Source organism: Homo sapiens, chromosome 4 (assembly GCF_000001405.40).
Source record: "Homo sapiens chromosome 4, GRCh38.p14 Primary Assembly".
NCBI classification, from domain to species: Eukaryota; Metazoa; Chordata; class Mammalia; order Primates; family Hominidae; genus Homo; species Homo sapiens.
The window spans coordinates 171,161,202-171,187,262 of record NC_000004.12 but is presented as its reverse complement, the minus strand read 5'-3'; the positions used below and the strand labels follow the sequence as shown (position 1 = coordinate 171,187,262).

Below are 26,061 nucleotides of genomic sequence, written 5' to 3'. Positions count from 1 at the left end.
ATCTACAGAACTGTGAAATAATAAATTTGCAGAGTTTTCTTAAGTCGCGAAATTTGTGGTAATCTGTTATAGCAGTAATAGAAAACTTAGCATCACCATACCAAGGAAGATAAGACATGTGGTTCATCAATGCAATCAATATATTTAGAATAATCCAGGGAAACTATTAGTTTCCAGGAAATGTTTGCCTTTGTTATCTCTATTTGTTGAGATTTATCATAAGATAGTGTATTAATCAATACCATTATAGCAACAAATGGCCCCAATACCTCAGTAGCTTTCAACAGAAAGCTATACGTGTTGCTCAAATTATAGGTAGGCTGTAGATGAGCTATGACTCCATGCCAGGTGGCGCTCTGGGTCTTCACATTCAGGGAACCAGAGAAAAGAAGCTCTATTTATGAGACATGTCCATTCTCATAACAGACATAAAGGGGAAGGCACCTCTGCTCTGGGGTAGTGTGCAGAGAATTTACTCAAATTCAATTGACCAATTCATGTCATGGGATGATTACATAAACTTGTCTTCCAGTTTTAACTAGACATGTTAGGTGAAAATTACCAGTGCCCTCTAAAGAAGTAAATATTAAGCACAACAGAATTTCAAGAGAATAACAAGAGATCACTGCTCCGTTTAAGGGAATGGGTGAAACAGGGGTTTCACTAACTTCCCATATAAATAACTCCTTCTGGCCAATGCACAAGGAACATGTTTCCTGGGATTTGATAGACTATTAAAGATTAAACAATACGGTTCCTCTGATTGCTTCTGTTGTATTTGATGCAGTAGAGCCTATGAAGCAACAATAGGTGAAGGGGAACTGGCATGCCCTTGAAAACCTGGATAATAACTTATCTTCCATTCTAATGCAGGAGGACAGTCAAGCACAATTTTCATTCATGTGGAACAGAAACCCATTTATGACAGGGTCTGCTCAGCTCAGGAAGAGTTAAGGACTGTAGTTGTCCATATGACAAATATAGCCCAGTCAATGAATCCAGCTAAAATCCAAGACCCGATCCAGTCTGTGGACTTTCTCAGAATTAAGTGGACTGGATCAACCAGACGTATTCTTCAAATTGTGAGAATTACATTGTTCTCTTGCACAGATTCTGCCAATCAACATGAAGCTCAGAGACTACCCATTTTCCAGGTTTTGAAAAGATAATATTTTTTATTTAAGAATCCTTCCAAGCCCTGTTCACAAAATCAATAGAAAAAATATCTGAATTTAAGAGAGGTCCTAAAGAAAAATAATCATTAAAAGACTGGTGGAGATTAGTGGCACAGTCTACATAAAACTTTATGATTCAATTGTTTAGTTGACATTAGAAATATCTGCAACTGCAACATTGCAGACCAGCATCTGTGGTATATATTGAAATGGGATGCTCAGTGAATACCTCTTAGTATTTTTACTCCAAAAATGCCTGAGGAAGCTGCTGTTAAAAGCCAAAAGTAAAACATGGCTAGAGTCTTACTGGGTGTTGGTCAAACCAGATTGTATTAATGGATGACTATAGACCTCTATCAGTAGGCAGAAAATATGATATGTGAGTATTAATTGGGATCAAACTCTATTTTCCTGTAGAGTTCACTCATGTTGTCTGGAGCAACACCATGAAAACAAGTAAATATTTCAAATAAAGAATTAGCTATCAATTTAGCCCATCTGGATATTTTTCTCTGAATCACGGTACAGTATGCATTTCACTGTTTTGAAAGTAGAAAATAGAAAAAAAACAGGGAAACAATATTACACAAATTTTACTTAACAATCTCAGAGCAGAAGCCTCATTGAAAATTAGAATGAATAATTAAAATCTTTGTTTCACAATGGAAGCGTGTTTTGAACAGAAAGTGACAAATGGAGATCTAATTCCTAAACTGTGCATCCTACACATATAACAATTTTTTGTTTGGTACAGTGTTCTATGCTCAAGGTTAAACTTACCTTTATCAGAAAAGCTGAAATCAATACTCAAGACACAATATTGATTACTTCGAAGTTGCTTGTTCGTATTCCTAAAGGCATTTTGTAGGTGAGCAGTATCTTTACTGCCTTGAAGCATCAAGGCAGCTCCATTGCCAAATAACACTGCCTGTTTTGTTATTTCTTTTTTGTTGTTGTTGTTTGTTTTTGTTATTTTACCAGATATGTAGCACCTATGCTGAAATAGAAACTCCAATTATGGGGAAAAAGTCTGGGTCAAAACAGGTAATAAATGTGGAAAAAGGGGAGAAGACATGTAGATGGCAAAGACAGTCACAAGTTAATCTAATCCCAAGGAAGGATGTAGTTACATAATTCCCCATATTAGCCTTGCAGAGCAAGAGAATAAACTCAGTGCTCTTTCTTAGATCTGGTACTGAGTAATAGCCAGTGCTGAGAGAAATCCTAAACTGGTTACCTCTGGAGAAAGGAGATTGGATTTCTACTGATCTTCAGTAGAAATTCTACCTGGTGAATCTGAGGAAAAGACGGTATGTAGCACACTCTGATGACTCAAGGTCAAGTCAATGGGATAAAGTGAAAGATGCTGTGGAGTTGATCTTCTGTCATCCTTGAGATCATAAATCAAGACAATATATGATTCAAACAGCTGCCTGGGTGTGATATAAAGCAAACTGTGGCTGCCTGTTGAGTATGTCCCAATTTGTATGATCGTTTGATTAAGTTAAAAGTGAATTTCATGGATTTCATCTAAATAAAATCGAAATGGAACCTGAATAACTTCAAAGATGTTAGGCATGGATGTGATTGTGAGATCTGACAGGATAGATATTTTCCCTCCAGAAGCAGACAAAAAAAAAAAAAAACTTTTATGGGAAGCCTTTTAGTATACCCAGCTGAAGCTATATTTGGAGGTAGAAAAAAAACCATTGACAGTTGTTAGATATCCAATGTTTGGATGTTCAGATCATTTTCCTAAATTGTACGGTTGTTTAAATGTACAATGAAACAGAATATGAGGTAACTTGTTCAGCAGCTGCCCAGGAGATAGCAAGAGTTTAGTGAAGACGTTAGGAGTTAGTCATGCTATACTAAATGAGGCTAAAAAATATTACTAGAGGCTTTTTGAAGGGAAAACTTTTTAAACTAAAGGGAATTAGAAGCGGCTCTCACAATAGAAAGATAACACCATTTTAATAGAATAGAATGATCAATAATGATTGTATTTTCACTTCTGAACTATTCTGGGAGTAGTCCTAACCTCCCCCAGGGATAACTATTAGATATTCAAATCACAATGAAATTTGATTTTTTTTGGAAAGCTTTCTGGTAAAGGGCCTTACAGAGCCAAGTCAAAGACATATACCTACGGGGAAACTTTGGTAACCTTAGGTTTTGGTAAGTCATCACGAATACTATGGCTTTCATTGTTTTCCAATGACTCAAACACCTCAAGTTGGAATGATTTGCATCTTCTTTTTATTTTATGCTATTACCTATATCCTGGAACTTGTTGTGCAAGAGGATAGAAATGAAGGAAAAGGGAACCACTCAGTGTAATTTCTTGGGGGATAGATGGACAGTGTTACATAATTATGATGACACAGAAGCTGGTGTCCATGAAAAACCTATACAATGCTATCTGGAATATAGATATGTCCACAAACCAGATAGAATATAGGATTAGCTGAAAAAAAGTCTCTGTTCACACTCCCGTCATTGCTAATATGGAAAAATTTGCTTCTGTTGGGAAATGATGAAATATATTGCTGTAATCTTAACTGACATATAGTGTGAAAAATACTAATCTATTTGTCATAGAAACCTGGTAACAGAGTTTTAAGTTATTTCGCCTGAAAATCTGAGTTGTGCATACCATAACCTCAGGATAAGAAAATATTTTGGACGCTAAGATTAAGTCTTGAATTGCTATAATGTCTGTAGAAACCAACTGAAGTGAGTTTGGCCTTATGAAGATTACATACCCAATAGAATGCCTCCAACATATAAAAGTTTCAATAATTATGTGTAACAGTTGATAAATTGTAACTCAACTTACAAAAGAATATCAGTATACCCATGAAGGATTATAAATAACAATTTACATGTTTTGTAGGGGAAATTTCTCCTCCCCTTTGTAAAACAAATTCTAGTGATCACTTATGTCTTAATGGCCTGTGTCATATATTTGCTACTCTTACTGGAAGGAAGCACCCACAGGAAACAAACAAGATGGTTCATTCTACTCCTTTGACAACATAAATTCAAGTGAACCTAAGGGTTAGTAGACTTATGAAATTTGTGACCAGGGTCCTTATCTATGGAAGGTTCTAAACAGAGTATTTCTGACTAATGATTTTAGGAAGTAAATAAACCTAGAATCTATAGCTTAGTGGGTTCAACTCCCACAAGCTTCAGTATAAAATTGGGATATTGATAAGCTAATCATTATCCACTAAGTGAGGGGAAGTGACATCCCACTTACCTTCTTACAAACCTCATCTAGTCTAGGTTTCAAAAAGTAATTTCCGCTGTGGGGATGATGAACCTGAAGCCTGCATTTCATGTCTCAGATGACTTTCTGCTTCACAGAAGCATGTCCATTGCCTGCATTTTGGAATTAGTTCTAAAATTTGAATAATGGATAAAATATTGGATTCTATGAATCTCTGATTTTACAGTCATATCTTCATATCTCTTTCTTAGCTCGGTAGCACTTCTTAAATCTGTGGATTTTTTTTTTTTTTTTTTTTTTTTTTTTTTTTTTTGAGACAGACTCTTGCTCTGTCACCCAGGCTGGAGTGCAGTGGCGCCATCTCGGCTCACTGCAAGCTCCTCATCCTGGGTTCACGCCATTCTCCTTCCTCAGCCTCCCTAGTAACTGGGACTACAGGTGCCCGCCACCATGCCTGGCTAATTTTTTGTATTTTTAGTAGAAACTGGGTTTCACCGTGTTACCCAAGATGGTCTCTGTCTTCTGACCTCGTGATCCACCCGCCTCAGCCTCCCAAAGTGCTGAGATTAGAGGTGTGAGCCACCGCGCCCGACCAAATCTATGGATTTTTAAAGATCAGTTTAAGAAAATTCTTAGCCACTAGGTGTTTCTTACACTCTTTTCTGCTTTTCTTTTTTTTTCTTTTTGCATCCTTTTTTTCCTTCCCCATACTAAAGTATAGAGACATCATCTGACATATCATTAAGTTTTCAGCTATGCTTAATTCACTGTTAACTATATCCACTGATTATTTAATTTCATTTATTGTAATTTTATTTTAGAAATGTTGTTTCCTCTTTTTAATTGTATCTAGTTTTCTGCTGAAATTTTGAATATTGTTATTTGACTCCTTCAGCGTATTACTTAATTTAATATAAAATTTAAATCTGATAAATTCAATATCTGTATATCCTGTGAGTCTGTTTTTCTTGTCTATTTTTTTCTCTTGGTTTTCAATTAAGTGTTATATTCTCCTGTGATTGATTACATTTAATTGAGTGTTGACATTATACGTAAAAGAAATAGGGATAATTTGAAGCTCTGGATGTAGTTTTCTTTTACTTTTGGCAGGAGCAAGCCCAGAGAAGTTCACTTTAATTGAATCAAGAAATTAAATTATTTGAACTTCTCTTATTTCCCTTATTTAAAAGTCTAATTACTACAAAGATGTTGTTCCCCAGTGTCCCAATCAGAACCCTCGGTTGTTTACTAAGCCTTTTAACTTTCTGCAGTTTCTAAAAGTAAATTTTTGTCCCCTCATCTCAGACTCTCATACTCCCAATTGTGTCTTTTGCTTTATATAAGGTTGAGTCAATGGAAAAGTTGTACAAATATCATGCTCATGACTTAGCTTATCTTAACTTTCTGATCTTATTCCTAAAAATTCTCTCTGCATTGGGTTCCTATTGAATAAGAAGTGTGGTGAGGAGCATGGTGGGAAGGAGTGACAGCTTTATAGTGTAAACAGGTTAGACCACAGCATAATATATGCCAGGCACTACTTTATTTGCATTACGTCATTATTTCAGTTAACAATATTTTCCACAATTCTGTGGAGTGGGGTAGTTATAATTCTCATATTGCAGATCATGACACTGTGGCTTAATAAATTTAAGTAATTTTTCCAAGTTTGCAGATTGTTAAACAAAGAATTCATTATTGACTGTAAGACTTCTCAACTACACAAAAAGCCTCACATGGAAGTACAACATAAAGATCCAAATAATTATGACATAAAATCAATACCCCATGCTGAGCCTTAACATAATATTATATTTTGTGTTTTTTGTAATTTCAAAAATAACTTTAAAAGGCCCACCAAGAAAAAAGTATTTAAATTTATGTGCTTTAAAAATATGCCTCTCAGATTTCAAACTTAAATATTTATTCTGTATCTTATTAATGCCAAACATTAAAGTTCAGAGTATACACAAAATTACCTACCTTCTGATTTCCTTATCAGGTACACTTCCAGTACAAATAATGAAAAGTGAGGACCTTTGCTTAGGAAAATCAAAGCTGCTTATTAGCACCTAATTTAGTTTGTTGTCATCTGCTTTTCTTTTTGGTATTTCTGTATTTTTTTTAACTAAACTTTAAAAAAATTCTGTCATCAATTAAAATCCTCTTTAATCTCACAATAACTATGACAGGAAAGCAAAGTGTTTTATAAACTAATTAAATGTTAATGAGACATGCCTGAAAGACTGTTTGTTCATAAACATAATATAGCTGGAAGCAAATCTTATCAGGAATTAATTAACAATGTATGTGATTAGGATAAATGGCTACTTATTTTCTTTGAAAACAGTTTTACTCCACTTAATACACTTGAAATAGCATATTTCATTACGAATATTATCCAAGTTTGTTATTAAAATACTAAAATACTTCTGGCACTGGTAAACAAGCATCTATAAATGGATTGTTACAATTCAAAAAGAAGCAGAAACCTCTGGCTGTGATTTTCAATGTCCTCGATATTAAATTTTTTTTTTAGAAAATACAAATCTCTATTTTCCTCTTAAATTGAATAAAATTTCATAATAAGTACAAAGTGTATGATTTCTGCTTCCATTCAATCCAGCTGGAAGAGGTTTTTTCATGTGACCTCCCAAAACTTGTTAATTGTGCCTGTTCATTCTTCAGTGATGGAGAACCTATTGATAGTTTGTGTGTACCGTGCAAGGGACAGGTGAAAAGTATCTCGGTGATATCCAATGGTGATTATCTAATAGCATCAAGAAAAAAACTACATAATAAGAGTTTTAAAATGTAAATTAAACAGGTAATTTGTGATGTCTAGGAGTGATTAAATTAATTGTTACTAGTCTAATAGAGGTGTTTTGTCCTTGATAATATTAATTCCACAGTGTCTTTCTATGGCAAAGACAAATGTCCACCTGCTTTCTTCCCCTAATATGTAATTTATTTTCATAACCTCACACATACAAACTTCATCAAATATACTATTTATATTTTCTAGGACAACAATAAACATTATCAGTCCTGATTTTTCCCACAATGCTATTTTTCCTTTAAAAAATACCTTATATGTTAATGTTTTAATTTCTTCTCCCTGTCTATGTTGCAAAAACTAAAATAAGTAAAAGACTGGCGTTTGCTTCCTTCTTATGACCATGTTTTATGGTGACAATATAAATGAATTTTCTGAACACCTGATTTTTTTAAACATGATAAAAATCAAAATTTTTACGTAACAGGTATATTAAGTAAATAAATAAATTCTATCAATAAGAAAGCTCTCACTGTAATCAACTACTGCTTTCTTGAATATAGCTAGTTTTTGTATCTCTGTTTCTTCTATTCTTAATATGTATTACTATATTTCTATTATATGAGGTAGCAGTAAAAAGTAGAATTTGTTATAATATCTACATCAAATTCAAGTGACTAAAAATTTTTTATTTGCATTAACATTCACCACGAATCAAGATACAGATTTTGAAACAAAAATAAAATTTTTAAAAATACACTTTTGGATCATTTTTCTTTACTAAATACAAATTAAAATTAAAAATAGCCTCAGAATCAATTAATTAAGATCTAAGAGCAGTTGGGAAAAATGAGACTCACTTCAAATATGTTTTAAATGTTTGTAATAATTTTATTTTGGGCATATAAATTAAACACAAACAAATTAAGATTGACACTAGTGAGAATAAAATTATCCAGCTACATAGTTTAACAGAAATAACATTACAAATATTTTCCCTTCTTTGTTTTTTGCTTTGACATTGTATCTCAGCTTGCACTGAAAGATCTATTTTAAAAATACGAATGAGTCATGTATTACACTGAAAGATTAGTATTTTTGATAAATTCACCTAACTCTTACAGATTGAACTAAATTTTATTTAATATGGATCCAAGAATAATTATTAAACAAAGTAATATAATTTGTGGGGTATATAACAGTGCTTTAATGATGTATAACAAATATAAAGCATAAAGATATATAAAACAGCAAACTTCAAAGAATGATCAAAAGTGGCATTAACTTTATGCACAATGTATAGGTAGATAAGATAAAATATATGCAATATAGCTATTTCTTAAAATACAAGATTCAGTTGTGAATGTAGGTTGATTCAATCTCTGATTTAAATTTTAGAACGTCAAATTAAACTACATGAAAAGAAGAAGTAGAATGAAATACAATTGCTCCTGTGCTGGGTCGAATAGTACCTACAAAGCTTCATGTCCACGTAGAACCTGTGGATATGACCTTGTTTGGCGATAGAGTCTTTGCAGAGGTAATTAGTTAAATTAAGATGAGGTCATACTAGATTAGAATGGGTTCTAAATCCAATATCCATATAAAAACATGAGGAAAGATATACACAAAGTCACACACAGGGAGAATGTCATGCATACGTAGATGGAGGCAGAGATTGGAGTGAGGTATCTACAAGCCAAAGAATGCCAAAGATTGACAGCAACCACCAGAAGCTAAGAGAGAGATGTGGAAAAGATTCTCCTGTAGAGTATCTTGAAGGAGCCGATTCCACCAACACGATTGTAAATTTCTAACCCCCAAAACTGAGACAGTGAATTTCTGTTGTTTTAAGGCGGTCAGTTGATAGTCACTTTGATAATTCAGCCTTAGGAAATTAATGCAGCCATGTACCTGGAATATCCAGGTTTCAGTTGGATTCAGGTACAGTGGGAATAATGATCAAGTAGTAAGTTCTGTCTTTCTTTGTAGTAGCTTTATTTTCAAGAAAATGGTTACCAGACTTTCTCGGCTAATGTTAGCCATATAGCTAGCAACCCAAAGAAAGAGTGAAGGTATCCTTCCTAATAGCCACAGATAAAAAGGCTCTAGATAAGAGATATTTGCCTAGCTCAAATCAAATACACTTAAAATAAATATGATGGCCAGAGGATTAGGAATTCTTATTGGAAAACCCTGAAGTATACACTAAACCTACAGCTGGGGCTGAGATAAAACTTCATAGAAAGGGAGTAGAGAGGTGATTGCTACCTAAACAAGTTATACAGAATAGAATTTCCTCACATCTCAAAGAAATTTAGCAGATATTCACAATATGAAAATACTGGATACTATGATATCTTATTGGACATTTCATAATAAAATAGAATTATCGAAATATAAATTGTTCTATTCATTTGAAAGCTAGAAAAAAATAAGCAGATAATTAGATTTTTCTAATAAGCCAATACAAACTTATCCTCATAAAAAGAGGATTAATTTCAGTTCTGGTAAGAGACTAAGATTATTTACAGTTAAAAATAAATTAGGTAGATGAAGTGATGAAAATTTATTCTACTTTTATTTATAGGACTTTTATTTATTAAGATATCATCAATATCATCTATAGAATACTATTCCTAACTACTCTATGTAAAAACCCTTCTACTATTGTTTAAATCAGAGGTCACAAACTTTTAAATCATCTCCAAAATGGAGAAGTAATGGAAATACATTTTATATTTAAAATGGTCTTTGAATATTAAGACACACAATCACAGACATGTATGCACACATGTATATAAAAATATGGTCAGCACATATATCTTATCAAAGGAAAGATAAAATTTGATTGGAAACTTTTCACTCAAATATTTACATATAATTCTAAATTTTACAGGCATTTTAAAGTCCTCCCTCTCACCATCATTTTATAAATTCTATTCTATATGTTTATAAGCTGTGTGTAGCTACTTATCTTATTGACAATATATCCTTTATATTCATTTAAATTACAGTCTAGTGAAAATCAATTAATTATACATTCGTATATGCAAGGAAATATCAAGCCTATTTTAATTCAGTGAAATATTTAAAAATAAATCTATATAATTCCTGGGATAAATGAGTCACCAATAACTTCATGCATTTATTCACCAAATAAGATACAGTGATCACTTTTGCTTAGTGGAAGAAACAATTTTTTGAGCTGAATTTCAAAAGGTAGGTGGATATTCTGTAACATCAAATTAGTGAGAACAACATAGGGTCTGAAGTGGGCATAGAGACAGAATAAGAATGAACCTACCTGGAAAGAAAGGAATTAGTGGGCTTCAAAACAAACAAACAAAAAGGACATAACCAGGTGTAAGGCCTTAGGAAGGGGGTTTTGATATTAGTTCTATTCCAAAGAACATTTGAAACTCTTGCATGCATTAAAAAAGAGAAGGGTATCCTATAATCAACATCTCTGCTTTCCTCATTGCTTCTCCTCACCCACCCACCCTCTCCAGCTTCTAGCAACCACTCTTCTACTCTCTGTTTCTATGAGATCTATGTTTCTTAGTTGCCACATGTAAATTAGACCATACAGTATGTGTCTTTCTGTGCCTGGCTTGTTTCACTTAGCATAATGTCTTCTAGTGAGCTAGACTAGAGATAAGTTTTAGTAATCTGTTGTATTGCATGGTGAGCAATGTTAAAAATAATGTGTTATATTTTAAAATTGCTAAAAGAATAGAATTTTAACATTCTCACTACAAAAAGTTGGTAGGTTGATGGATATGTTAATGAGCTTAATTACATCTTTTTACAATATATACATGAATGAAAACATCACAGGGTACCCCATAAATATACACAATTACTATTTCTGAATTAAAGAAGAAAGAAAGGAAGAAAAAAAAGAAAGGGAAAGAAAAACAGAGAGACAAAGAGACAGAGAGAGAAGGGTATAAATGTTATGCTAAAATTATGTATAAAGAATAAAACATAAGGAAGCAATGCAATATCCATAAATAAAACTGTTTTAAAATGATAGAAAATATTTTGTATTATCAACATTCCCCATGTCCTGCAGATGCGAGAGCTTCAGAGGCAGTGCTGGATACACACTACACTTAAACCTTTTTATATGCAGTTTCATATCTTGGGTATATAATTTATGTATGGACAATTTAAGTGATGTTAAATGAACTTAAATAATTCCAATAACAGTGGCATATTAATGCCACTTTAAGCCTTTGTAGGCTTTTAAATAGAACCAATTTGTAAAAAGCATGAAATCCATACCATAGAGTTGACTTTGTAATAAGAAACTGTGGGATTAACTATTGAAATAATCACTATTATTCCTTGTATAAAATTCTTCTGTAGTTAAAGATTACTGTTTTTTAATCAAAAATTATGTTGGTATTATATGTAAAAGAGAAGGGCTTTTTTGGAAGGCCCAAAAGCATCAAATGAGATATAAATTTAGCTCTTTCCCACTTCGCTTCTCTTCCCTAATGTTTCTTCTCCTTTGGCTTTCCATCTCTTCCAAAACTTTCCCTTAAAATACAGGTAAATTGGTTGGACAATATAATGTTCTCCTCCCTGGGATACTCTACTAAAATAGAACATGACATTCAGATGCATCAGTGACTAAAGTCACACCATTCTGTGTGGAGAGTACAAATCTCTGCCTATTATCTTATCTGAATAATTTCTCATGTAGTAAAATAGAGCAAGGACTCAGAGTTTCATGATGTAGAGAACAACATGATGCTGGGGTGGAAAGTGGTTTATAGAAATAGCCAAAGAAACTCTTAGGGTCAAGGGCTTCATAAGCTACTGCTAGGATAACCTAAAGTTACTGTGCATTATACTTTCTCCTTAACTTCAAAAATAGCAAAATTCTTAGCAGAGCACCAATTTTCTACTACCTTTATTACAATACTTATATGGAGAGATTATTGTTCCTTCCTTAAATTTCATTTTAATTAGAATAGTTATAAAATTTTAAGACCAATTATAGGAAATCTATTTTGTGTGTTCTTATTTTTAAAAGGCTCCAAAGTCCCTTTCCGAAGACCCTTGACTTAAGAAAAGGATAAAAGCCTCCTTATGCAAATGTCCCTTTCTTGGTAGTCTATCATTGGCAGCAATATTAAAATTGCTTTCCCTTTCCTGAACAAAATAAAGGCTACGTATAAGCCATGGTCTTCATGGCTAAGAAGATGAGTGCCAGCATTAAACAGGAAAACAACAAATTAAATATTGTTAGAGAATAGGAAATAATGAAGATTTGAAAAGAACACCTAAAATTTGAGGCTAAGCCAAAAAATTACAATGCTTACATAAAGTTACCAGATTCATTCTTTACTTGCCCATTGTTTGATATTTATTATCTCAGCAGACTGCATAAATGCACTAGCAGTCCTCTGAGTATTCAGAGGGCAAGACATCCTCAGATATTTATCATTTTGATATTATTTTGAAAAAATAAAATGTAACTTTTTAAATTTAATTTATTTGAAATCTACAATTATAGGCGTAGTAATTTCTGAACTAAAATTACATATATAGTTTAGCTAAACTCTTGATAATATAAGTAAATGTAGATTGTGTATATTTTAAATGTATACAAATCTTTTTCAATATTTAAAATGAATTAGAGAATGAAGAAAAATTTTATGAGCTACTATAGCAATATTACTGACACTTAAATATTTATTGCATGCAGTGCACTAAGATGTGTCTTCTCAAGGTTCTAGAGACATCAAAGGTATGTTTCCTTGTTATACAATGATTTTTATATGTATATTGGAAGGTAGACCATTCTTATGAAAAACTGCAGTCTCCCTGCTTAATATTAAACTTTCAAATAAAATCCATAGACCACAAGCTCACAGCTAACATCATAATCAATTGTGAAAAGTTGAAAGCTTTTACTCCAAGATGAGGAACAGGACTGGGATGCTCAATCTTGCCACTTCTATTCAACATTGTAATGGAAGCCCTAGCCAGAACAATTAAGCAAGAGAAAGAAATAAAAGGTATCCAAATAAGAAAAGAAAAAAAAGTAAAACTGTCTCTATTTGCAGATGGCAAAATCTTATATTTTGAAAACTACTAAACCCTAAAGACTCTGCAAAAAAAAAAAAAACAAAAAAAACTGTTAGAACTAATAAACATATTCAGTAAGATCACAAGATACAAAATCAATGTACAAAAATCATTCATGTTTCTATTCTCTAACAATAAACTAACTGAAAAAATAATGAAGAAAAAAATCCCATTTATAATAGCATCAAAAGAAACAAAGCACTTAGGAATAAATTTAACCAAAGAGGTAAAATATCTGTATACTGGAAACTATGTAACATAGATGAAAGAAATTGAAGAAGACACAAAAAATGATGGGTCAAGAGAATCAATTCCATTAAAATGTCCATGCTATGCAAAGTATTCTGCAGAGTCAATGCAATCATTTTCCAAATTTCAATGGCATTTTTCACAGAAATACAAAACAAAGCATGGAATTATTGTGGAGCCACAGAAGAATGTGAATAGCCAAGGCACTTTTGAGCAAGAAGAACAAAGCTGGAGTCAACAAACTTTCTAATTTCAAATTCTATTACAAAACCATAGTAATCAAAACAGAATGATACTGCCATTAAAACAGACACAGAGACCAACAGAAAGAGCTGAAAACCCAGAAATAAGTCCATGCATATAAAATCAATTAATTTTTGACAAAAGTGCCAGGAACATTTAGGAAAGGATAGTTTGGTCAATAAATGGTCTTGGGAAAACTGGTTATCTACATTGAATCCTTATTCTACACCATGCACAAACATCAATTCAACATGGATTAAATGTTTAATCTAAGACTGAAAACCATAAAACTAGAAAACAGAAACATAGGGGAAAGCTCCATGACATCAGTCTTTGCAGTGATTTTTCAGGTCTAAGAGCAAATTCGCAGGCAACAAAAGCAAAAATAAAACACATCAGACTATATAAAACTAAAAAGTTTCTGCACAGCAAATGAAACAATTAATAAAATAAAAGGAACCTGAACAATGGGAGAAAATATTTGCAAACTATATATGATAGGGAGTGAATATCCAAAATATATAAGGAACGTCCACAAGTTAATAATAAAAATACAAACAACTTGCTCAAAGAGAGGGCAGATGACCTGAACAGACTTTTTCAAAGAAGACATGGTCAACGGGTATATGAAAAGGTGCTGAACTTCACTAATGATCAGGCAAATGCAAATAGAAAACATAAGGAGATATCACCTCACACCTGTTAGAATGTCTATTATCAAAAAGTCAAATGATAAGAAGTGTTGGCAAGGATGTGGAGAAAGAGACTCTTACACTTTGCGAGTGGGAATGTAAATGGCTATAGTCATTATGAAATACAGTATGGAATTTCCTTAAAAACTAAAAATAAAACTATTGTATGACCCAACAATCCACTTATGGATATACATCCAAAGAAAACAAAATCACTACCACGAAGTGATATTTGCACTCCGATGTTCATTGCATCATTATTCACAATAGTGAAGGTATGGAAACAATCTAAGTGCCCATTGATGATGAATGGATAAAGAAACTGTGGTGTATATAAATATTGAAATATAATTCGACCTTAAAAAAAGAAAAAAATCCTGCCATAGCAAAAACATGGATGAACATGGAGGATATTATGCTAGGTGAAACATGTCAGGAACAGAAACACACCTACCGAATAATCTTATTTGTATGTGGAATCTAGAAATGTTAACTTCACGGTAACAAAAAGTAGAATGGTGGTTACCAGGGGTTATGGGTACAGTTATAAGATGAAATATTCCAGAGACCTAATGTCCAGCATGGTACCTATACTTAAAATAACATATTGTATACTAGAAATGTGTGAAGAGTAGATATTAAGCATTTTACTTAAGGTACCTGTGTGAAATGATGATTATATTAATAAGCTTGTTTGTGTTAATCATTTCACAATGTAACCTATATAAAACATTATATTGTATACCTTGAATATATATAATTTTTGTCAATGATATCACAATAAAGGGAAAATAAAGTTAAGCTTTCATAACCCATTTCAGTGCTATGTCTATTTCATAAAATCCCTTTCTTGGAACATGTATACTTTTGGATTTATTGAAAGTTATTTGGTATGTAGTGATTTCTCCCATTAATTCTTTAACACACATAAGTAAACACAGACTTAAATAAGTATTTAGGTTCTAGTAATAAATTGGAATCCTAATATAATAATTAAAATGCAATAATTATATCTCTAGCTAAAATAAGACCAGAGTTACTCTAATTGAAGAGCCTGTTTTACTGAGGAAAATTAATGTGATTTAACATTGCAAATACATGAAGTTAATTCTCAGTGTTTATAAAAAATTTGTCATTAGTATAATTTATTTTTTGCCAGTAATGTTAGTCTGTGCTTGGATATTTGATTTTAGCTGTTGGGATAGAAACACACTGAATCAGTCACTTCTATGTGAGGTCAAAGACTAAAAACAAAGTATTTTTACTGATGTCAATAAATGTTCCACAATGCTTAATAAGTAAGTTTCTAAATACTCGTGGCTTATATATTTTTTCATTTTATCTCTCCCAGAGATGCATAATTTGTATGTTAAAGGAGGTTATTGTCCACTTGAGAAAATAACTTATTCCTAGAGTGTCCTCCAAAGACTTGAAAATTTGTTATATTTTTAAAATCCAAAGGTGTTTTGGAGGAATATTTAGGAAGTGAATACAGCAATGTACAATAACTTTATGAAGTGACAATTATTTCAAAGATTCCAGTACATTGTATGATTCTCAAATACCTAAAACTCAATGACTAAACATTTATTGAGAACAACTATACATCAGGGACTGTTCTTACTTGTAAAAGCCACAAGCGTAAAAATACCATAGGAGGTCTTGATATTTGTGAAAATGTACCCACAAAGCAGGGTAACACACAATAAACAATTAAATATGCTTTAAAACCTGCAAAATAGATTTAGCAAGCAAAAAAGCAAAGTATTAATGATGTGGTTATATATGTAAGATAAGTGGTGATTAAAGAACAGCTTTACTTTGGTGGCTAGAAAAGGTTTTTCAGCAGCTTCAACCAATAGGCCAGGAGCTAACCACAAAAACAAATGAGCTAACCACAAAAACAAACAAGCAAACACAAAAGCAGACAAAAAAAAGTGAAACAAGGAAACAGAGAGAACATCTTTGTTGGTAAAGAGCTCTTGAGTGACTGTAACCCAGAAATCCCTTGGTAGTTTTAGGAAACTAGCCAGCCTTTGTGGCTGGATTGGAGACAGCAAGAAAGTTCACATGGTTAGGATCTTAGGTGTGCTTGAAATCTGCACTGTAAATCTGGATACTGGATATGGACATTTTCCTCCTAATTTTAGGAGGTAGCAAAGAATGGATTTTAAGCAAGAGATCGACATAATTTGACTCATATATTTTATAAATCACTCTTGCAGGTATTTGGAGAATGGACGAATGAGGCAAAAATAGAGACAAGAAAGCAAATTTCATTACTGCATCTCTCCAGGTGAAACTTGCAGGGCAAATGGAGAAAAATGAATTTGTAATATGATCTGAGTTGAAATATGAAGGATATTCTGATGAATGAAATTAAAAGTAGCATAAAAAGAGCATCAGGAATGAGTCCTTCCTTTTTGAGTTTCACGGATAGATAGAAAGTGGTGCTATTTATTGAAGTAAGAAAGTTTGGGGAAAATAGCAGGTTAAGGGGCTATTTAAGAAAAATTATAATCTGCATTAAATTTGTTAATTTTCATGCATCTTAGAAGATTAAGTGAGGGTTCTTAATAAACAATTAGATATACAAGACCGGAATACAAGAGCAAAATCAGGACAAAAGATGCATATTTAGGAATCATAAACATATAGATGAAATTAAAAGCCCCCTGACTCTATGAGGTTACCTAGCTAGATAATGTAAAAGTAACTCCAAAAGATAATTGAGAAGCAGATCATACCACATTCCTCATATGTATTGCTCCTGATTCAATTAATTCAAGATTTCAAGTTTTGTTTATAAAAAATGATACAAGGTATGGAGTACCACCCTGAGGTGATGATGGGGTCAAGGCTGGAGCTGAGCCTGGTGTAGCTGCTGTGCATTGAGAGAGGACAGCGATTGTACAAATGTCATCTGCAAAAGTACATAAGTTCCCTGGAGGACATAGTGCCGGTCTTGAAGGCCCAAAAGAGTCTCCGAGGTGATTCATTAATATCTCTGTATGGTGGATTTTCCAGAGGAGATGCTGCAGGCAAAGAAACCGACCTCCTTCTCCATGAAGGCACCAGCCAACAAGTGTCTGGTCCCTGCCACATGCAGCCCACATCACAGAGAGAGTGCCTGCTGCAATGACAGTGCATGTGTGGTCACCGTGGGGTACACCAGTGAGATGTGGAGTGAACTGCCGGCACTGGCTCTGCAGCAAAGCCTGTGCAGAAAGTGAGAAAGAGGGCTGGAGTGGCAGGACAGAAGCCAGCGGAGGAGAAGCACTTGGGGGTGAACTAGACCTTCTCCTGCTGTGACATCAGAATCCCCAGGAAAAACTGGTGCAGGAGATTCTAGGCTTGGCCTAGAGTCTCAAGACACTGGCTACACAGAGCATCATCAAGAAGGACAATCAGACCGTCACACTCACTTACTATGGCTGAACAGTACCTGTAGAAGCTCAAGACAGAGTGAGAGCAGCTGGAGCAGCACATGCAGAAGTCCATCATGTGGGTGCTTTGGGCCATCCCTGCTTCATCTTCATTAGCATGGTCTTCTTCATTGGTGTCATGCCCAAACTCAAAGATAGAAAAGCCCCCTACCCCAGGGGGAAAAAAAAGATACAAAAGATGTTTGCTTTCATATTCTCAACAAGCTAAAACCAGATACGATAAAAATCCAGGTTTTCTAGTGTGCTATCAGAGAGCCAGGGGTTCATTTCTTGGTTAGATAAAATATATTAAAATAAATAAATAAATAAATAAATAAATAAATAAGTAAAGAGCCAGGGTAAAGAAAGTCTTAATAAACAGAATTCTAGAGAAAGACAAGCCTTTCACTGGTGAGCAGTGTGTGGACAGTATATTCCTGTTTTGAGTGGGGACATGTGTGGGATGGTGCCAGCCACAAGGGGTAAGACTTTGCAGGCACAATTTTTCCACCCATTTGAACGTTGTCCACATTTTTCACAATATATTTCATATATCATTGATAGTTATTTTAATATCTGTTTGTTAGTCTCAACACATAGGCCATGTTTGTGTCTATTTCTGTCAACTGGTTCATAATGTAACAAAGGACAACCTTTTTTCTTGCTTTACATATGTCTAGTAATTTATGTTTAAATTCTGGAAATTGTCTGTAAAAGAACAATAGAGATAGAGGTAAGTAAAATTTTTGACTGAACGTTGTTGTGCCTCTTTTTTTGTATGTCGGTTAGCTGGGAAACTGAGTTGAGCTGGGTTTGAGTATTTGTTGTCATGGTTTCTTTCAGTATTACCATCTTCAAATTCCTTCCACTGTTGATTGATGCTACCTTGTTCTTAGTGTTGTTCATGCAATGTTGGTTTTTAGTGCAACTTTTCTGCTTACTTTTAGCTTTCAGTAGATCTTGCAAACCTTTGTCATGGAAGGGCTTTCTCTCTACATTCTGATGTTTCTTTCAGTGGCAGTCTACTCTTGTTTCTCCATGCATGGCTTGTGGAGAACAGGGGAATTTTCGTTATCCTCTTTATTTTGTTCCAGGCTTAATATTAAGTAATCCCTCAATGTTTGACCTTCAGAGATGAGAATTTTTCAGTGTTTTTGCCCTTCCTTCTTAACAGAAAATCTCTTCCTCCTACTCAATACAGAGTCTAGCACACAGACAGGACTTCCACCCCTCCTGCAGTGATAGAAGACCTCTCTTTTTCATTTGAAAAATATCTTGTCATAAGTTAGTTTGCTACCTATCTTCCAGCAGCTGATGACTTTTGCCAATGTCATTGTAATAGTTTTGCCTAAAACTAAAGGAATTGGCGGGGGAGGCGTGGATTTCTACACTTCTCTTTGTGGTAGAAAACTTTCCAGTCAGATCAGGGTCATTTCCTTGCTCACAGAGATGTTAGTTTCTAAGCTGAACACAGTTTCTCAAGAAAAACAGCTTTTGATCCTGCCTCTCTATCCCCTGCAAAACAGCATGAGAATTTTATCTGAGTGCAGTACACTGTCAAGAAAATAGTAAAAAGTGAGAAAGAGCAATTTCTATCAATTTATCCAGTATTTCTGGAGGAGGTCTTTTCTAATCTTCCCTGTGATCAAGGTTCTTGCTTTTCCTTCAGTGACAGACACCTGCTGTGTACCAGCCTGAGTCTGTGGTGTGATGGGCTTCATGTCTCTCTTCCAGCAGCCAGTCACTGCCTTTTACTCATCCAGGGTGCAAATGAGTTTCTCCACCCTTAATCTTTGCCAAGTTCTATGGGCCTGCATTACCAACATGGAGTGTATTAAGTAAAAAATGAATATTTCAAACCCTAGATCAACTACTACTGAAAAAAAAATGAATCAGAATGGTAGTTAGAAAGCCAAAAAGGGAACACAACAGAATACTAAAGCAATGATTCACTTCATCCTCACTGCCTGAGCCTACCTACCTGTTCTTAACTGCTTGCCATGCTTCTGGGCCTAAGGGTAAAAACTCTGGCCACTTTTATCATAATATTACTTCAGAGTGTTTTGGCCTTTCTTATAGTCAAATGCTGGGTTCAGCATGACTTCTGCTGTACGTGATAAGCTTGGGACCACAGAAACACCAGTGTCCATTCAGACTTGACTGTAACCATAGAAGCTCTATGTTCTCCAACAGCTGCCCATAAAGGCTGGCTAACACATTCCGAAAGTGCAGGGGAGGATAATTTCCCTTAGGGTGCACTTTAAGCAATAAGAGGCAGGATACTGGATAAAACTGATAGATAAATTTTTCTTTCTCCTTTTTTTTTTTTCCCACAACGTACTGAACCCAGATGAAATTCTTCTGTTTTGTGCTATTTTGCCGGGGGTAGTATTTCTTGAGAAATTGTGTTCAACTTAGAAATTAATCTTTTATTTGCTTTTCTCTTTTTCCTTGTTTATTATTAAATAATAATTTCCTTTATTCTAACTTTCTTTGAAGTCATTTCCTAATAAAACATTAGCAAATGATCTTTGCTTCAGGTTCTGTTTCTAGAGGAACTTGGGCCAAGACTTGGGACACAATAAAGTAATCTGAAAAAGACAAGAGTGTGAGGTCAAAGAGACCAATGGAGAAATGTGATTTTAGGAAGAAGTGGTCTACTGAAACAAATTTGGCTGCTAAGAAATTGAATAATATAATGAGATACAACCATTATATTTTCAGTGTGAAAGCCATTTATGATGTGATAAGACTCAATTCATTTCAGGAAGATTAAAATTATTTATGATTATAAAAATCCAACCATTACTGCAGTCTTCTATGTATAGTAGATATTTTCTGTTTTCATTCAGCTCCATTCATATATGCCAGATTAAACTGCTAGAGTGGCTTCTTGTTAAATGATCTTGTTAGTGTTAAATATCCTTGCCTTCTAAGTGAATAATGATGCCTCATTGAATTTTATTCTTTTGACAAAAACCAACTCGTGGCATGAATATACCTAATTTCTCAGGTGTAGCTAAGAAATGTTGCCTTAATTTACAACATCAGGAACGTTGTATTACATAGACCAAAACGTTTTAGTTTAAATGGAATCTTCCTCCAAAAACAAAAACAGTTGTTGATTAGACCAATTACTATTTTAAATTTAAAAGTAACCTATACTGTATTATCAAATTGACATTGAGAAACTAGTTGGTAGTTAGATTTTTTTTGAACAAAAGCCTTGTAATTGGCTATAAAAATGTTTATATTTCAGCTGACACATACTTTTTGAGTCCTTCTATACAATCAAAAAGAAGGAAATCAGAAGTGGCTACATTCCACAAAGCAAAAAATACATCTCTGCATTGCAACTGGGAAGACTCAATGTTTAAGAAAAGCTACATTATGAGAGTTATTCAAAGGCTAGTGCATTTACTTCCAGGACCCAGAAATACTAAGCAAATATGAAAGCTCCATATAATGGGTTTGCATTCTACCCACAGTGCCACAGTGAAGTCCCAGTTAAGTACAAGTCATGAGAACTTTATTTTTCAAACCACCACTGCTTCTCTCAATGTCCACAATCTCTTTTTCTATGTTGAAGGTTATAAAGATAAAAGTCTCCAAGCCATTGAAAGACAGAAGCTCCAGATAGGACAACAGAGATAGCGATCTGAAAATTTCAGTACACAAGTGACAATCATTTCTGCTGAATGACTTAGGGGAACTGTGCCAACTGGAAGCTGCTGACAGTGTATTCCTTCACTAAAGAGAAGGAAAAAACCTAGTAATCACCTTAGGTGACAGGTGTAATTCACTAGGCTGACAAAATCTATAGACCAAAGGTGTCCTATCTTTTGGCTTCCCTGGGCCACACTGGAAGAAGAATTGTCTTGGACCACACATCAAATACACTAACACTAACAATAACTGATGAGCTTTTAAAAAACTGCCAAAAAAAAACCTCATAATGTTTTAAGAAAGTTTATGAATTTGTGTTGGGCCACATTTAAAGCCATCCTGGGCCACAATGTGGCCTGCAGGCCACGGATTGAGCAAGTTTGCAATAGTCAACAGGCATTGGTTTGATTTTGTGTAGCTAATTTTTGGCCCTCACTGTGTTTCTTCCCATGAGATCCACCCCTGAAAAGCACAAACTCTTCTCTCTCCAGCCCTAATAACTTCCACTAAAGACAAATCCCATTAAGTGGCTTCCCCCTTTTCAGACCAGATGACTCTCATCTATTGTCCCGAGAAATGGGCTACATGGACTGTTCCTCTAGTGTCCTTCCAGTTCATTATTAAGGTAGTAACTCAATAACCTGCCTTTTGGGGGGATGAGTTCCTTTTAATATTCATTACTCTTTTCTTTTTAAATTTTACTTTAAGTTCTGGGATACATGTGCAGAATGTGCAGGTTTATTACATATGTATACATGTGCCATGGTGGTTTGCTGCATCTACCAACCTGTCATCTAGGTTTTAAGCCCTGCGTGCATTAGGTATTTGTCCTAATGCTCTCCCTCCGCTTGCCCACCACCCCCACAACAGGTCATGGTGTGTCTTGTTCCCCTCCCTGTGTCCATGTGTTCTCATTGTTCAGCTCCCACTTATGAGTGAGAACACGCACTGTTTGGTTTTCTGTACTCTGGTTTATCTTCAGATAGTATAAACCTTTAGCTTTTTTTTTTTTTTTTTTTTTTTGAGATGAAGTCTCATTTTGTTGCCCAGGCTGGAGTGCAGTGGCGTGATCTCGGCTCACTGCAACCTCTGCCTCTCAGGTTTAAATGATTCTCCTGCCTCAGCCTCCCGAGTAGCTGGGACTGCTCTTTTTTCTTTTAACAAGCTCTTTACGAAAACAAAATATATTCATTGATAAGGAATTTGTGAGCCTGTTTTTGAAGGTAAGAAATATAAAAGTATCTTATAGAGTTAAATATGCAGCTGTGCAATGATCTAGCAATTTCATTCTAAGTATATTTCCATGATAAGTTAAAAGATAAGTCCACAAAATGTTTTGTATGAGAATGACCATTGCAGCTAATTCATAGTGTCCCCAAAATGGAGACAACCCAAATGTCCATCTACAAGTGAATCTATATACACCTGTGACATAATGGTAAAATGAAAATCTACTCAGGGATAAAAGTAACACACTACTGATACATTCAACAACATGAATAAATGTTATTGACTCAAGAAGCCAAAGACAAATAATACATGCAGATGAGGTGAAAAAATATGAAAACATACTAATCAGTGGTAATAGAAGTCAGTAAGTTATTCCTTTTGGTACGGAGGAGGAGATTTACTAGAAAAAGGTATGAGGAAACACTCCAGGAGGAAGGAAATATTCTATATCTTGTTTGGGATAATGGTTACATAGGTGTAAACAATGACCAAAACTCATTGAATGGATAATTCGATATCTGTACATTTTTGTTATGTCAACTATTAATATATTTTGGTTGAAAAAGAAGTTATTTTCTCTTTGAATTTCTGATATATCAATGTTGATTCTTTTTTGGAAAATCTTAAATGTTATGATTTACTATGCTTCCTCCTTAAACAATATTGAAGTATTATTTTTGTTATACTTTATAACTTTTAGAGCAGTAATATTCTCACTAAGCTTTCTGTCATAGCTCCTGTTTTCTCGCCACCATGCTTAAGATAAACAAGACTTTTTTTAACCTAATATATATTTCTTCAGAGCAGTAGCTTCTATGTACCACGTGGCTTAAATGAGCATTCTCCCTAACTTAGCAGAAAATCACACCCATTTTTATGAAAGTAACTCATTGTTCAATCCTTTCTTCATTCCTGGAGATTAAGAGATAAAACATATACTTTCTCATTGAGAAACTGTCCCTGCTCTTGTGCACATCTTCTCTGAAAAGGATGGAATACATGACTACAAAGAGAATATTACTCTTGGAATTCATATGTGGGAAATCGATTTTTCTACAGACAGCAAACTAGCCAGTCTCAATCTTCTCTATAATTTTGTATACAAGTAATATAAGAAAGAGCGTAGATGTTCAGATCTTTCTTTTACTTGAAAGTCTACAGCATTGTAATTGAAATTACAATTGTAATAGAAATGATAGTCATAAAGACTCTTTCAAATATTCCAATTCTGCTTTTAGACATATGGCAGAATTGTACTTAACATGACTCTTTGACATTAGTTACAGCTTTGTTACTTTATTTGGCCAATGAGATGTGGACTAAAGTTGTGTAAAATGCTTCTAGGTCTGGTGCTCTCTTTCCCACTAAAGTGAAGGTGGACAGTATACTCCACTGTGGCCATTTCCTCGGCCTGAATGACAGGAGAAGATAGAGCAGAGCAAAATCAGCAGGTGGCACAATGGACATGTATCATGAGTTGGGAATAAGTGTTGCTTTGAGCTGCTGAGATGTTGAGTTGATTGATTACCAAAGTATAATGTAGAGACCATCGCAAATAATACACTTTCTTCTCTCCTTTGAATATCAGTTAGACATCATTCCATTGTTTTTTGTTTTTGTTTTGTTGTTTGTTGTTTGTTTTTCCTTTTACATTATCTAACCAGAGTAACTAACCAAAATTTTCTTGCAGCTTGCCCCTCTGGTTAGCTGCATATTGAGTAAACATTTCCCAATGCCTGACTTCCTTCACCCAGCTCAAAGTGGTGATCAATATGTAGCCTAGACTCCCGACCAAACATCATGAAACAAGAAGGAAAATCAATAACTGCATTCCTAGTGCCATCAGAGGCACACAATGGTAATTCTGCATCTTGTTTTCAGTGTAGTTTCTACAGCATATTCAGCAGCATTTAATTAAACTCCCAGGTCCTTTGCAGTGTTTTCGTTTGGAGATGGCTGGGATAGTGTCGAATTTCTTTACTTTAGAGGCCTGAAATTCATACTGTGGCAGAAGTTTCTGTGAATTCTGAATTAATAATAAAATTATCATTTTCAAAGTGCCTGAGAAATGGCACATGACTCATGACCCCACATCAGAAATACTCATTCTTTACTAGTGAGGTTATTAGATATGACCCATATTTCTTCTAGACCTTGGCCATCAGTATTTAATGTCAGGGAGGTAATGCAGAGTATCCCATAAAGTTTATGACTTTGAATAAGCTTATGGGTATAAATCTTGCAGGAATCTGCCCTAAGCTGCTCAAGGCAGTGGGCACTAGTTATACTTTGGGATTGGCCTTTACATTCATACGGGTCAAATAAATCCTTTAGCTAAGATTATTTCTAAAGCTCTTTCACTCCCCACTGGACCCATGTGGCCATAATCTGCTCTCAAAACTTTTCTTCAATTGGAGTAATGCAATGCTCAGTCCATACTTTTTAACAGTGAATTCCTTCAAGAATAGCTGACACCTGGTAATGATTAAATCTTCCCTTTTGTTGCCTCCATTTGTTGCTTCCATTTGCAGGTGATAATAATCAGAAGAGATGTTTTGGGGTCAGCTCAACAAAACTAAATTAAAATATCCTCTTAAAAGTTTCACCTGGCAAGGTGCAGTGGTTCATACTTAAAATCCCAGAGCTTTAGAAGGTGGGAAGATTGCTTGAGCCCAAGAGTTCCAGACCAGCCTGGACAACATAACAAGACTCTGTCTCTACAAAATATTTTAGAAATTAGCCAAGTGTGGTGTCATGGGTTTGTAGTCCCAGCTGCATGGGAGTTTGAGGCTAAAAGATCACTTGAGCCCAGGAGTTCAAGGCTGCCATGAGCTCGCTGTGCCACTACATTCCAGGCTGGGCAACAGAGCAAGATCCTATCTCTAAAAAATTACAAAGAAAAGAATTTTACCTACCTTTGGAGTCCTCAATTTTCTTTATCACTCCCAGCAGATTAATTTAATTTTCTTACACAGGGAACAGTGGGAAAGGCCATTTCTATCTTTGTTCCTGATTTATAAGTAATTCTAGCATATCCATACAGTAAGATTATACTCTATTTGTTGACTGCCACTATCTAGAGAGTTATGTAATAGAATGTTATAACTATCCATGTCAAAATATAATCATATGTTTATGATATATTCAGTCCTTGTAATAAATGGCTAATTTTAAAGCCAGAAATTTTTTTCTTTACAAGAGAGTGAATTTGATTAATACTCTAATTATATAAATATTACCTTCTTATAAATAATGTACAGATAAA

General features: G+C 34.3%; 1 non-coding gene across 1 annotated transcript; it reads right to left on the bottom strand.

Annotated features, from left to right (window-relative positions):
- Positions 1-970: 970 nt before the first annotated feature.
- MIR6082 (microRNA 6082) lies at positions 971-1,079 on the bottom strand. Its single transcript, NR_106730.1, has one exon. It is a non-coding gene; the product is annotated as a microRNA 6082 (primary transcript).
- Between the last annotated feature and the right edge of the window lie 24,982 nt (positions 1,080-26,061).